Source organism: Homo sapiens, chromosome 3, assembly GCF_000001405.40.
Source record: "Homo sapiens chromosome 3, GRCh38.p14 Primary Assembly".
Taxonomy (NCBI): Eukaryota; Metazoa; Chordata; class Mammalia; order Primates; family Hominidae; genus Homo; species Homo sapiens.
Genome location: NC_000003.12, coordinates 85,735,868 through 85,749,797, shown reverse-complemented (window position 1 = coordinate 85,749,797; position 13,930 = coordinate 85,735,868). Strand labels below are relative to the sequence as shown.

General features: G+C 34.5%; 1 protein-coding gene across 17 annotated transcripts in view, besides 1 other annotated feature; it reads right to left on the bottom strand.

Moving 5' to 3' along the window:
• Positions 1-13,930, bottom strand: part of CADM2 (cell adhesion molecule 2) — a 1,115,441-nt gene that overhangs the window by 324,632 nt on the left and 776,879 nt on the right. The gene's annotated exons all lie outside the window — the stretch shown is intronic.
• Positions 4,132-4,370: a silencer, noted in NCBI's record as "fragment chr3:85794578-85794816 (GRCh37/hg19 assembly coordinates)". NCBI's record gives its function as "represses an EF-1alpha promoter that drives an FKBP-Casp9 reporter gene in an ReSE screen in K562 erythroleukemia cells {active_cell/tissue: K562}" and the evidence as "EXISTENCE:reporter gene assay evidence [ECO:0000049][PMID:32094911]".

The following is a 13,930-nucleotide window of genomic DNA, read 5'->3' as shown; positions in this document are numbered from 1 at the left end:
AAAATAAAACAAAAGGAATGGTAGAATTCACAACACATTTACTTTAATCCCAAGGAAATTCATGAACCTCTGCATATGAAAATATTCTGGGCTTAGTGATTGTCATGTTACTACCACATATTTCTTCCTCTCTATGCACAGTCACACAACACAAATACACAAAACTTGTCTATAGTTTGCTGTAGAGATTTCTCTGTCAGCATTTTTAAAATTTATTTATACCACAAAATGTTCCAAGATACAGATATATCCCGGGTTGTATCAATTTAGAGCAAGTAATCTTTTTCTTTTTAGATTGGCAATTTCTAACAAAATTGATTTGTACTTCATTAAAGCATTTAATAATGTAATGATAAGTAGGAAAAAATGGGTTATGCTGTGAAAGTAAAGATAACTGAAGAATAATTATCACGCTAATTATTTTTATAAAAATGAAACTCATATAACTATTTCTTCTAGGGTTGCAATACAGATGAAGTAAGAAAATGAGTAAAAAGTGTTTAGAAAAGCATCTGCACTTAGTATTACTAATTACTAAGTAATTAGTAATTAGTAACAAATTGGGGATACATTTGATATCAGTTTTTTGTTGTTGTTCTTGCCATTGTTTGTTTTGTATATGGTATTGAATTCTTTTGTTTCAAAAGTATACACCTGTTCTGACATTTTCTGTTTACTAATGATAAGGAGTATTGTGCAAATCTGTTCCTTGTAGGTGGCATATTTTTTCCCATGAATTTCTCTTGTTATTCTGCATTAGATATGAATCATAAGCACAGTTGAAGCTATACTCTGAAAAGCTTATTGAACTTATCTAAAGACACTGTTGATATCTTGTAGCTTTCAACTTAATATCAAAAGTTATTATTATCTCATATTTACAGCATGTCTTGAGCTGCCTTCTTTGATGTACACTGTTTGAATACTTTTATAATTAATTCATTTATCCACCAGACAACATTGAATACTTACAGATGACTAGTTGCTATATTAAGAACTAGTAAAGTTCCTTACAGTTTAGAAAGATAAAAGAACATATCAATAAAGACAAAAACATGTGGTAAACACCTGAGAGAGGCAAATACAGGCCACCATAAAAGTGCATAAAGGAAACCCCCCTAAATGGGATTAGGATGAGGGCAGCTGTGGAAAGACTGAGGAAACCAGGCAGGGAAAGTTTTTCAGATGATGTGAAACTGAGAAATGCGTGATGTGACTAACACAATCTCTCTTCCAGTCTTCTCCATCCTATTTGCATCTAGGGCCCTGACATTATTAGACTCAGATAAGTGAGCGTTCAGCTGAAGTAGATACAGTCAGAGTTCCTGCACAAACACAGATACCCATCAGAAACCTGGGTAGAGAAATAAATTGACTAGAAAGGAGACATAAGGACAATTTAGGCTATTTCGCCTGCTTCGTTTCTTTTGGCAATGCTGTCTGCTTATTTTTTTTTTAAATGGATGTCTAGACATAAATAAGATAAAGTTGATTATAAGAAGAATATAAATGAACTTCTCAATACTTTCATTTTAAAAGCTAACAATATTGAGGCCTATTAAGAGCAGTATGATGAGAGAAAGGCTTTGATGTCTGGAAGAGGAATGTTCCTGAGAGTTTGATAGAGAAAAAAATCTACATAATCTTCTTTTTCTACTAATGGAGATTATGGTTCAACAGGGGGAAAAGTTCTCAATTTATAAAACAATTTCACACACATGCATTTTTAAAAACATATTGAAAGGATGTTTTATATTATAATAAAATGTTAAAAATGAACCATATTTCTTTGCATTAAATGCCATAGCAGCTTATAGAGGAAACTCCTTTATATCAAAAAGTTTTACTGTATCAATTAGTACGCCTCCTCATATGAGGCCCACTCTAGTTCTCCTTTCCATACAGTGTCATCCTACAGCACATAATTCATTCAGAAACTGCTCCTCATTGTCAAAATGAGTAATATTAAAAAGTAAATCAGTATAAACCTGATTATGCTAGCAGTTTTGATGATCTCATTGAGACTGTGGTTATTTATGAAACTAATGAGATTCTAAATGTTCATAAATTTCCAAATTTTTCATTCTATTTTAAACACTGAAACAGCCTGCATATTACATTTATAGTCTTTACTGTATTTCTGCTGTCATACCCATTTAGTATCCTCTTTATAAGGCACCAGAACATCATAGAAGAATAAAGGTTTTACCATTCTTGAAGCAGCTCAGCCAAGATGGGTTGATTCTCTGCCTCTCATTCTTTTTCTCCCATTGATGTTGCCTTCACTTTCTCCTGTATCCTAATAATCTCTCATCATGTACTACAAGTATCTTATTTACTCTTTCCTTCTAATTGGAGGGCAGACAATTTATTTATATTAATATACAAACATACAAGGAAGTGTTAAGTAGAAAATTGTTTGTCACATAATATGAAGATCTGTGTTTAAGTAATGTGTTAACTATTCATAGGTGATCATAAAACAAATTAATTTCTAATTTTAAGAAATTATTTAATTTCCATCTCGTAAGATGGAAGCTTCATAGATGAAGAATGCATGAGTAAAAGAAAATATTGAAAACAGGATACATAATTCTCCAAAATGTAAATGAAATTGCTTGGTGTTGGTGAATTGGTAAACAAGCAATTTAAGAGTCAAGCGAGTACAGGATGTTATCTGTAGTATTTCTGGTAGTCAATGTTAATATTTTTGAAATATTATTACATATTTTTCTTATATTTCCAGATCTGCTTTGGTCTTCTCTTCATCCTGTTTTACCTTCTGAAATCAGGCAGAAGTCAGGTTATTCAGTATCCTGACAACAGGGAAAATGTAAATTCAAAAATTAGAGGAAAACGAACTCTTTCCTAGCTTTTTGATTTTAAAAGCCTCAGCCCTCAGAGAAAAAACTTGGACTTAACAAAAGATTTGAAAAGACATGATGGAGGTGGGGAGATAAGACACATCTATCTCTGACAACATGAAGAAAAATCAATGAGTAGAAGAGAAATTGGAAGGGCAGCTTGGGGAGAGTTACCCCCTGAGTCACGGGAAGACAATGTGAGCTCTAGATGGTTCAGAGGGATTCCTGAGAAATTTTTCCTCAGAAGATCTTAGGACTGGGATAAGACTCTAAAGCAGACATGAGACATTAAGTGTAGAGAAAGAGACTTTTATTCAGGAGCTGCAGGATGGAGTCACAGGGATGAAAGATATGAGGAAAATACTGACAATGAAAGAGAAAGAGAAAAAGAAAAGGAGGAGGGCAGGCACATATGAAATGATGGCACAAAATACCATTTTGTTGAATTTAGAAAAATGCAGTTATATGGTACACTTGTTTTTGTGCTTAGAATATCGATGTTACAATACAAATTCTCCATATTTTTCCTTCTAAAGCCTTTGTTTTCAATGAGTAGGTGGAGAAAAACACACAGGGCTTTTCCAAATATACATCCATCAGTTCTATTTATGTAATAAGATAACAGTGCTAATGATCAACAGGTATGTTTCTAGAAATCAGAAATGAGCAAGAAGGAATCTTGCATAGCTGCAATGCTTGTTAAAAGCCCAAGCAATTTTTACCTCAGTGGCTTTTGATGTTATTACTGGATTGCCATAAAATAATTGTTCATAATGAGGTTCTAGTTGCTCTTTGGGGAAATTTTAAATTGAAGTTGTTAAAATTAAAAATAAAAAACTCCATCCTTTTAAAAAGTACTAGTAAACATTAAACGTTTTTATTATGTTGGATAATGGTATTTTTCTGACTATGTATCTTCTTTTATTTCCTGGTTGACCATAAGTGTTGTTGATCTTTTCATTGTATTGGAGTGGGGAAGGCTAAAGTTGGGGGTAGGCTTTCATTCTGACACAAAAAATAAATGGACCATGGAGAAAACAAGAAAAAAAACATAGGCAAAAGAGAAATTAACAAGGAAGGAATCTCAGAAAGAAAATATTCAACACGATTCAGAAGTAAGATGTAACTTCATAATTTCATTCAACAGCTCAAGCCATCCTGCCACCTCAGCCTCCTGAGTAGCTGGGACTACAGGCATGCACCACTATGCCTGAATAATTTTTAATTTTTTGTAGAGATGGGGTATCGCAATGTTGCATAGGCTGGTCTTGAACTCTTGGTCTCAAGTGATTTTCCCACCTTCACCTCCCAAAGTGTTGGGATTACCGGCGTGAGCCACCACACCCAGCCCACGTAACACTCTTTATATAAAGTTACATCTTACTTCTGAATCGTGTTGACTGTTTTCTTTCTGAGACTCCTTCCTTGTTAATCTCTCTTTTGCCTGTTTTTTTTATTTTCTCCATGATCCATTTATTTGTTGTGTCAGAATCAAAGTCTACCCCCAACTTTAGCCTTCCCCCTTCCAACACAATGAAAAGTTCAACAACACTTATGGTCAACTAGGAAATAAAAGAAGACACACAGTCAGGAAAATACCATTATCCAACAAAATAAAAATGTTGAATGATTACTAGTACTTTTTAAAAGCATGGAGATTTTTTATTTTTAACAACTTCAATTTAAAATTTCCCCAAAGAGCAACTAGAACCTCATTATGAACAATTATTTTATGGCAATCCAGTAATAACATCAAAAGCCACTGAGGTAGAAATTGCTTGGGCTTTTAACAATCAGCCAAAGCCTTAGAGACACCCTTGACTCTTTCCTTTCTCTGCATTCTGCCTCCAAACTTCCAGAAAAGTCTCCTGGCTATAATTTTAAATTAAATGCAATTTCTTCTCACCAACGCCACACTAGCACATAATAAAAACCACCATTAACTCTTCCCTATAGTATTACAATAACATCTTGAACCCTCACCAACAAAGCAACCATAATTTCCATTTAAATTCATAAGGCAGAGCATGCCATTCTTCCGCTGCCCTGCCAATGCTTTGCCATTGCACTCAGAGTAAAAGTTGAGCCCTTGAGCTGGCCTACTTGTCCCCATGCAACCAGGTCCTGTTACCCCACCAATTTCATCCACTCTTCTCTCCTCCTGACTTCCTTTTGATCCTGGCCTCCATCTTCTTCACCCATTCCAGACCCCTTGCTCCTTAAGCATGGCAAGCATACTCCTGCCTTGGGGCCCTTGCTCTGATCTTATACTTAACTCATAGTGCTCATCCCCCAATAGCCTCATGGCTGCTCCCTCCCCACCTTCATTCTGTCCAAACATCGTCTTCTCATTAAGACCTTACCCCGAGTATTTCATTTACTTATTTATTTATTTATTTATTATTTATCTTTATATTTTTTTATTTTTTGTGGGTACATGGCAGATGTATATGTTTATGGGTTATATGAGATATTTTGATACAGATACACAATGTGTAATAATTACTTCAGAGTAAATGCGATCTCCTTCACCTCAAGCATTTATCCATAGTGTTACAAAGAATCCAAGTATACTCTTGATTATTTAAAAATGTACAATTAAATTTATTATTGAATTTAGTTACCCCATTGTGCTATCAAATATTCAATCTTATTCATTCTTTGTAACTATTTATTTGTACCCATTAGTCATTCCTTGTCCCATCCCCTAAATCCCCCACTACCTTTCCTAGCCTCTGGTAACCATCATTGTACTCTCCATGAGTTCCATTACTCCAGTTTAAGTAGCAGTTGCCCTACCACTAGGCATGTCTCAGATCCCTTCCTTGTGTTTTCTTCATAGTACTAATCACCTTTAAACATGACTAGAATGTCTACTCATCTTGCTATTATTGTTGTTTGTCTTCCCCCTCTGGAGTATATGCTCTATGAGGCTAGGGATTTTGTCTCTTTTGTTATTTGTATACACCATTGAACAGAAGTACCTAAAGTAGAACTTGCCTAATAATTATTTTACAATTTAATATGGATGAAATCTTAACTACTTAAATATATATTTATTTAAATATCTTTTAAAATTTTCTCTTATGACTTACAATGTCTCTTTTCTTCCTAAATCTATACCTGAGATGTTTTAATAAATACTTTAGAATCTCTTTTGAGGTGATTTTAACCTTTGAGTTTAAATTGTTTTCACTTGAAAGCTGCCTCTTTGCGCTATTCAGTGTATGAATTCCTGTATCTGGATTTGTGAGGACAGGTTTGTAGAATATTCTACCCAATACAAGGGAGGTAGTGAATTCTTTTTTTTACTGGGATCAATAACTGTCTGAATTGGATAGATTAAATTAGCCCCAGGCTGGTTAGGAGGCAGGAGGATAGATGGACAGCTTCTGTGAGTCTCTTGTAGTTCTATACAAAGTGTTTGTTAAAGTTTCAATGGGAAAAAAGGCACTAAAATGCAAAGGTAAACATTATGCTTTAAAGCGATAGAGACAAATGTCCTTATGCAGCACAAACCTTTTCAGAGATGGTATAGATCATCTGCCTTATGTTTTTCTGTTGCCTGTGAAAAGGATGTGTGGAGAAAGGTGCTACTTGATATTCACTTCCAATATCATGTTGGCTGAAAAGCTGTGCTTTTTTGTAAATCCAACTAAATACACTGACATTTTCAGAGTGCATCTGATACATTTCAATAATTAATTCTTAAGTCAAGAAAGAGTCAAGAAATGAGATGAAGAAGCACAGTAGGCTGAAAATTGCCAGTAGGAAGGAAAAAAAAATCAGCAATAGATAGAACCTTTTCAAGCTGAAAGAGGTCAGTGGGAAACCACTGGGAACAGGGATGCAGCTTCAGGGGCTTTTATTATTGTTATTTACATAAACCACCCAGAGAGTAGTGTGAGATGCTCAGTCCATAAATTGCAGAAATCGGTAGACTCAGAAAAAGGAAAATGTGATCACCTAGTAGAAAGAACTAAATCAGTGAAGTACTTATATAACATGCAGTCAAAGAGGAAAAATCTCAGTTGAAATATATTCCCTTTGAAAGAAAACAGATTGTAGAATGACGGTGCTGGATAGGAATTCGAGAAGTGCTCCAGCAAGCTCCACTGGAAAGTTTTATTTGTGTCCTAGAGATGGCTTTTGTCTTTGGATATGAAGAATGTCACAGGATTGCCACCTGAAATGCTAAGATCATATTAATAGTTAAAAATATTTTAATGTGGAAAAGATAAATTTTAGATAGATTTCAGGCATGCTGTAATTGCCAACATAGCTTCAAAGTATCTGTTTTGCAAAATTATATTTCATGATTTCTCCAATTTTTTTAATTTTTGCTCTGAAATAACTACTCTATCAAATAATATTAATTAAAACAGCAATTTATACCTCATTTATAATTTAAGCCTCTGATAGTTAAATTTTAAAATACCAATCTAACTTAATTTATTATCTTAAGGGTCCATCATGTACTTGCGGATAATAGAGAGACATAATGGAGAGACAGACACAACCAGATCATGACAGTGAGTGACCTATTTAGAATATGTCTTTATAGTGGCTTTCCCACACAAGGTCTCAGGGAAGGTTAACATAGGTAGAAAGACATGTATGTATAACATCTATAACATGCTTCATCAGGTGAATTCACCCACTGAATGTAACAGAATACCTCTCAGGCCAATGCCTGCAACCTGGCATAGGAACCACTAGATGACTGCCACAGTGCTATTTCTGACCAATGTCTAAGCCTCTAAAGAGGAAAATAAAATAACAATATACTTATTTTAAAACTCCTGAAAAAGTCAGTGTGTGCTTTTGTATTCTATAATGTGACCATAAGCGTTAGGTACTGCTGGAAAACGTCCTTTATTTTCAAATCTAGCTGCTACAGCAGTGGTAAACATGTAATAAGCAGTCAAGTTACTGGACAAACAAGTAACTTATATCCGTCTAGAAGTTCTAAAGAAGTAAAAGCTATAAAAAAAGAGTGTTTGGGGTTTAGGAATTCACTGCATGATTCCTTATAATTCAACTGATTTATGAAATGTAGTTTCCAATAGTCTCTGTGAAGTATAGAATGATTTTTTAAGGAAAATAAATAAGTTCCAATTTTATTTTTTAAGTGAATGAAAGAGGAGAATACAAAATTAAATGGGTGGAGTAACAAGTATATTTGATTTTTAAATCTCAGTTTGAATAATAAAGGTGGTAGTGGAACAGATATGGAATTTTCCATATGTGAGACAACTATTTTTTCTGAGACAGAGTCTTGCCTGTCGCCCAGGCTGGAGTGCAATGGCACGATCTCGGCTCACTGCAACCTCTGCCTCCCGGGTTCAAGTGATTCTCCTGCCTCTGCCTCTTGAGTAGCTGGGATTGCAGGCATGCACCACCATGCCCAGCTAATTTTTGTATTTTTAGTAGAGACGGGGTTTCACCATGTTGGCTAGGATTGTCTCGAACTCCTGACCTTGTGATCCCCCCGCCCCGGCCTTCCAAAGTGCTGGGAATAGAGACGTGAGCCACCACGCCAGGCTGAGACAACTTTTTATTTGGCAACTAAATAACATGTCATTGTATTTTTTTTTTCTCTTGAGGGGAAATAAATCATCAAAGACAGGAGTGAGTGACTTTGCACTAATGCATTTTCCAATTATTTGGAGAAGTTTCCAAAATATAAACAGGGCAGCGATTGGCTGAAATTAGATCTCCTTATACTGAAATAGAAGATGATATCTAAACATCTCAGATGCTTAGCTAAAATGGTTCAAAAATTTTAACCTCTTCTTTGCCTGGAGTTCTATTAATTCCTTCAGACCTCAACAAAGCTCATTGTGTGATTCAATTTAATTATGTTAACTGCTATGTATCTCAGTAAATTGATGCTTCAGTGGCACTTGGAAACATAAAAGTGCCTGTTCATTTGGAGAAAGAAAGAGAATTGTTGTCCTGAACTAGGATTACCTAGGCTTATTTGGACTATTCTGGATAAAGCTGCTAGATCAGGTGAGTATAGAACCAAGATCTAAATGAAGAGTATATGACTTAAGAGTGAGCATATAAATTAATATCAGATGTGAGAATTAATCACAGCCGGAAAGCTACAGAACTGCTACAGTGAGTCAGAAGAAATTGGCTCCAAGTACATCAAGGTAAGTTGTGTGGGCAGATTCCTTGTGCAGAAAAAGAGCAATTAATTGAAGGGAGCCAGCTGATGTTTCGGGACTTGAAACTCTTAAATATCAATGTGAATTCTTACATAATTTTAAAACCTGCAGGATCTGGTGGTAAACTGCATAGATACAAAAAGAGAATGATTATGGCCTCATATTCTTTATAGTTGCAAGAAAAGAAAAAAAGAAGCAAAAAAAGAGGGAGAATAAACAAGACAGACGGTGCAAATAATAATGATAAATACCAACATAGAGCAAAAATTAAGGCCTTCCAAATAACAAACCTAAAGAATAGTCAATTAGGTTGAAATAGTGGTCACATTAGCAAGTCTTTGGAATTAGTATTGAAAATTATGAATCATTTGACCTCCACAGTGCCAGGAAGAGTTCATTATCTTTATTACTGAAGCTGTTGGACCAAGTGCTATTACAGGGCTCACTGGAATAAGGCATACAGATAGGGCATACAATCAGTTAACCTATGGAAGACTATAGTATTCTGTAAGATCAAATGAGTAGCAATAGTACACTCTGTGTACAGATATCAAAAGACACAGACTTGTTTACCAAATTCCTTAGAAAACAAAATGTGACCCACTTGATCATGCATGCCAACTGGATTCCAACTAGAATGTCTATGTAATTAATTTCCTCCTTTGATTTCAGTTGTTTCACCCTGACATTAACTGCATGTGACTACTTTTAACATCTAATACTGTTACTCATAACAGATCTCTTTCTAAGGTAAAACTGATTAAGCTGAATCCAGTTGCGAGAATAAGAATTAAATATTTCATCTCCCATTTGCACTTTGCATATTACTCTAAATAGCTGGAAAAAAAGTAATTGTTTTGAATGCACACTTGGGCATCACTATCACAAGCTTTGATAATAAGGATTCACATTTAAAATTTTTGATTTCTTGACATTCTTTTGTTGTTTTTAAAGTTACCAATAATAGCTTATGTTATATGAGATAGCTGATATATTTTCTGATATTTAGATGGTTAAATTTTATCTATTTTCAGTGCTTCCTCACCTGTAACTATAAATGCTTTGATATTTAAAATTAAAATAGTTTTTATTATCTTTCAACATAGGAACACCCTTTCACACTGTGTTCCTTATAATTGATGCAACTTGCATTTTATATGAATTTTTAATCATTGTATTGTCATCCTATTCATTTCTCAGCAACATTATTATTCCCCTTAAGTTACTTTTTCCTCTTCTCTAATTATGCAGGGTTAATTCTGAATTCTGCATTTATATTTTTACAAATATCAATAGAGCTAAGGCAGTTATATAATTTTAAAAGAAAACAGATCCTGATTAATTTGTTTAAACTTTAATAACATAGAATGTATCTAAATGTATTCATCTCTATCAGTTTTATAAGTTATAAAGATAATTGACATCTAAAACTTAATGTTCAGACTCTAATCTACTTTGAAACATTGCTTACAAGATGACAGTTACCTTTAAGGCTGCAGAGAACTTTTGAACAACAAAGCAGTATGACTCTATTCTGTCAAGATTTATTTGGGTATGGAAATCAGTATAAGTGAAAGTTTAATAATAGAATATATAAAGTGATAATGCAAACTTCCTTTCCATTATGTTTTAGGAAGCCAATGATAAATGTCATCATGTAGGGCAAAATGGTGATGTTTATTTTCCTGGGGTAATTTTTTGCCAAAATTAAATTTTAAACATATATTCATGTTTGGTACTATACATACTTTATTTTAAATCATTGAGATTGATATATCTGTTAAGTGGTGGAATCAATTTTAAAATATAAACTGTATATTACAACTACTTTTGACTAGGGCCTTACACATAAACTCAACAAATATTTGGGTAATGAATAGATGAATAATTAAATGTGAATGAGTTGTTGTGTCACTAAATACATTTCTAGTTGCTACATTTTAAAATAGAACAAATAAAGATGATAAGAAATGCTCTTTTAGTATATCTCTTACTATGCTGTGGGTTGTTTGTTTTAAGAAATCTCCTGAAAATGACTAAGACTTTTTAAAACTTGCATTCCCTTAACCTGTCTGTTATATTTAAAAAGAAAAAAGGCAGAAAAAGAAAGAGAGATATGGTGAGTTATGATGATTGAAATAGTGATAAAAGAAATACTCATTAAACACATATTTTGCTCTAATAAATATGAAGTCAAATTATCATGCTGAAATGACCTACTGGCCATGCCACCTGTTGTGCCAGATGTGTTAAATAACATTTGAGTGTGAAAAATCCCAAAGCATTTGTTAACACTTCCCAAAAGGCTTGTAAAGAGTTTGAAAACCTATCTTGTATCTCAGCTATATTTTACCTAAATCTAAATTAATCCCTCAGTTTTATAAGGAAAAAATATTTCATGCATGAAAAGTGATGTTTTATTTGCTGACAATCAGAATTCAGGTCTTCAATGAATCAAACATCAGATTACATAGGAGCATCTATCTTTATTTCTAGGGGAAGCTGTGTCTAATATACACAGATATTTGCTCTCTATTTCCTAGTTTCCATTTGAATTTGCTATCACAATCCTATGCCATTGTGAATCATTGTGAATATACGTTACTGGGATTCTCAAACTCTGGGTAAGCAGCCAAGAGATTTGATTGTCTTTCCCAAGATAACTTCTGGCTGAGGTGTAAGGTAATGACTTCAGGAACTATTTGGTGATTGTTCAGGCCAAATAGCATTCCTGCCTTGTCTCTAGACAGCATGCTTATTAAGTGAACTCAGTGCCCATCAGATGATTAACCCATCTTAGAGAAAACAGATTACACGGAAACGTTTTGAAATCCTGTTCTGCTGGTAGGTAATTTTTGCTTGGCCAAGATGGGAAAACACATAAAGAGTGAGTTAAATTAGGCCTGGCACAGTGGCTCACGCCTGTAACCCCAGCAGTTTGGGAGGCAGCGGCGGGCAGATCACGAGGTCAGGAGATCGAGACAATCCTAGCTAACACAGTGAAACCCCGTCTCTCCTAAAAATACAAAAAACTTAGCCAGGCATGGTGGTGGGCGCCTGTAGTCCCAGCTACTCGGGAGGCTGAGGCAGGAGAATGCCATGAACCTGGGAGAGGGAGGTTGCAGTGAGCCGAGATGGCACCACTGCACTCCAGCCTGGGTGACAGAGAGAAACTCCGTCTCAAAAAAAAAAAAAGAAAGAAAAGAATGAATTAAATTAATGACTCTTTCGAAGTTTAGGCCAGATATATTGTTGCTGCTTGGATGTCATTAAAATAACCTTGTATTGCATGATAATCAAGAATCAAATGTACAAGTAACTTTTCATCTGCCCTGTTCAAAATAGAAACAACTAGAATATACAATTTAGGTGTGCAGTTTTTACATGAGCTTTGTTTGGCATGTCATTCTTGACAAGTTATTTTTAATATAAAGTTTCCTCCCACCTAAATTGTTTATATGTATGAAATTTTCGATTACGAGAATCAGTAATACAGACAAGAACTACTTTAGGTAAAGAAGATCTTATCTTCTTATCTTATTATTCCAGTAATAAAATTTATGGTTTTCCCTTCACTTTCACTTGTCTTACACAGTACACCATAAATGTACTTTCCTGTGGGCTAACATGAGGACAAGATCAGGACTGTCATTCTAGGTGTCTGCTTGTTGGTCTCCAGTACTGATGGCAATGAAGATAAATGAAGAATAACAAAATGTTTTAAATAATTCACAAATATTTAAGGGCACTTATTTAATTCAAGTTCAGTTAATTTTTTCTGACTGCTGTTTCAACTGTATTCTTGAAAGGAATTTCTATTCTCGTGAATCTGCCAATTTCTCTCTGACATTACCACTGACCACTCTGGGCCAATCTACCATTATTTCTCCCTGGACTACTGTAAGTTTCCAGGCAATTCACCTTTTCTCTTTGTCATCTATAGTAGTCTCTACTAATCTGTTTTTTCATGAGCAGCCAGTGATCTTTTTCAAAGTGTGAATGTAAGAATATTCCACCACCCCTATCTCTACCCCATTCCCTTTTAAAACCACTTAATGGCTTCCCATTGTTCTTAGAATAAGAAAAAAGCAAACAAGGAAATAATAATAATTGAAAAAAAACCCAACAGAAAAAAGAAAACCCTGTAAATATCAAGGCACTGCATGGGCTGCCTATCTATCCCCTCTAATTTTAACCCTCGTTCCCTTTGATGTTCTCCAGAAACTCTACTTGCTGTCTTTTAGTCCCCTGCTGACATTCCCTTGACTTGGGCAGTTCTTCCCTCTGTTGCCCAGTTAATGCTCACTAGTTATTCAGCATTTTTCTGACCATCATTTTCTCTAAGAAATCTTCCTAGCCTTCTTTCACTATGGTGAATTTTCCTGTAGTTGAATCTTATTGTACCATTGTTTTGCAGTAGCAAATTTACATTTCTTCAGGTGATTATATGATTAATTTATATATCGTATAGTAATTGGCAATTACCAAGGTTACATTGCTTGTTTCCACATTGCTAAATCCATTTGTATCTATCTTGACTTATGAAGAGCATTTGCCCCAGTTGAACACCACTTCCTTTTTAAATACATTTTCTTTCGTTTTATTTTATTTTCTTTTTTATTTTCTTCTTTTTCTCTGACACCTTTGCTTGTATGTCATCATCTGATTGATCTCTTTAAGGCTGGAGTATGTGAGACCACAAGTCCTAACATTTTTGCTTTCTTCTCTAGCTATACTCATGCATTTGATGAGCTCATTCAGTCTCATGTTTTTATTGACTGTCCACATGATTTTCAGATAGTTTATCTAAAGTGTAGAACTTTCTTCTAAATTTCACATTTATTAACCCAATTGTTACTTATCATCTTCACATGAATGCTTAATAGGTCT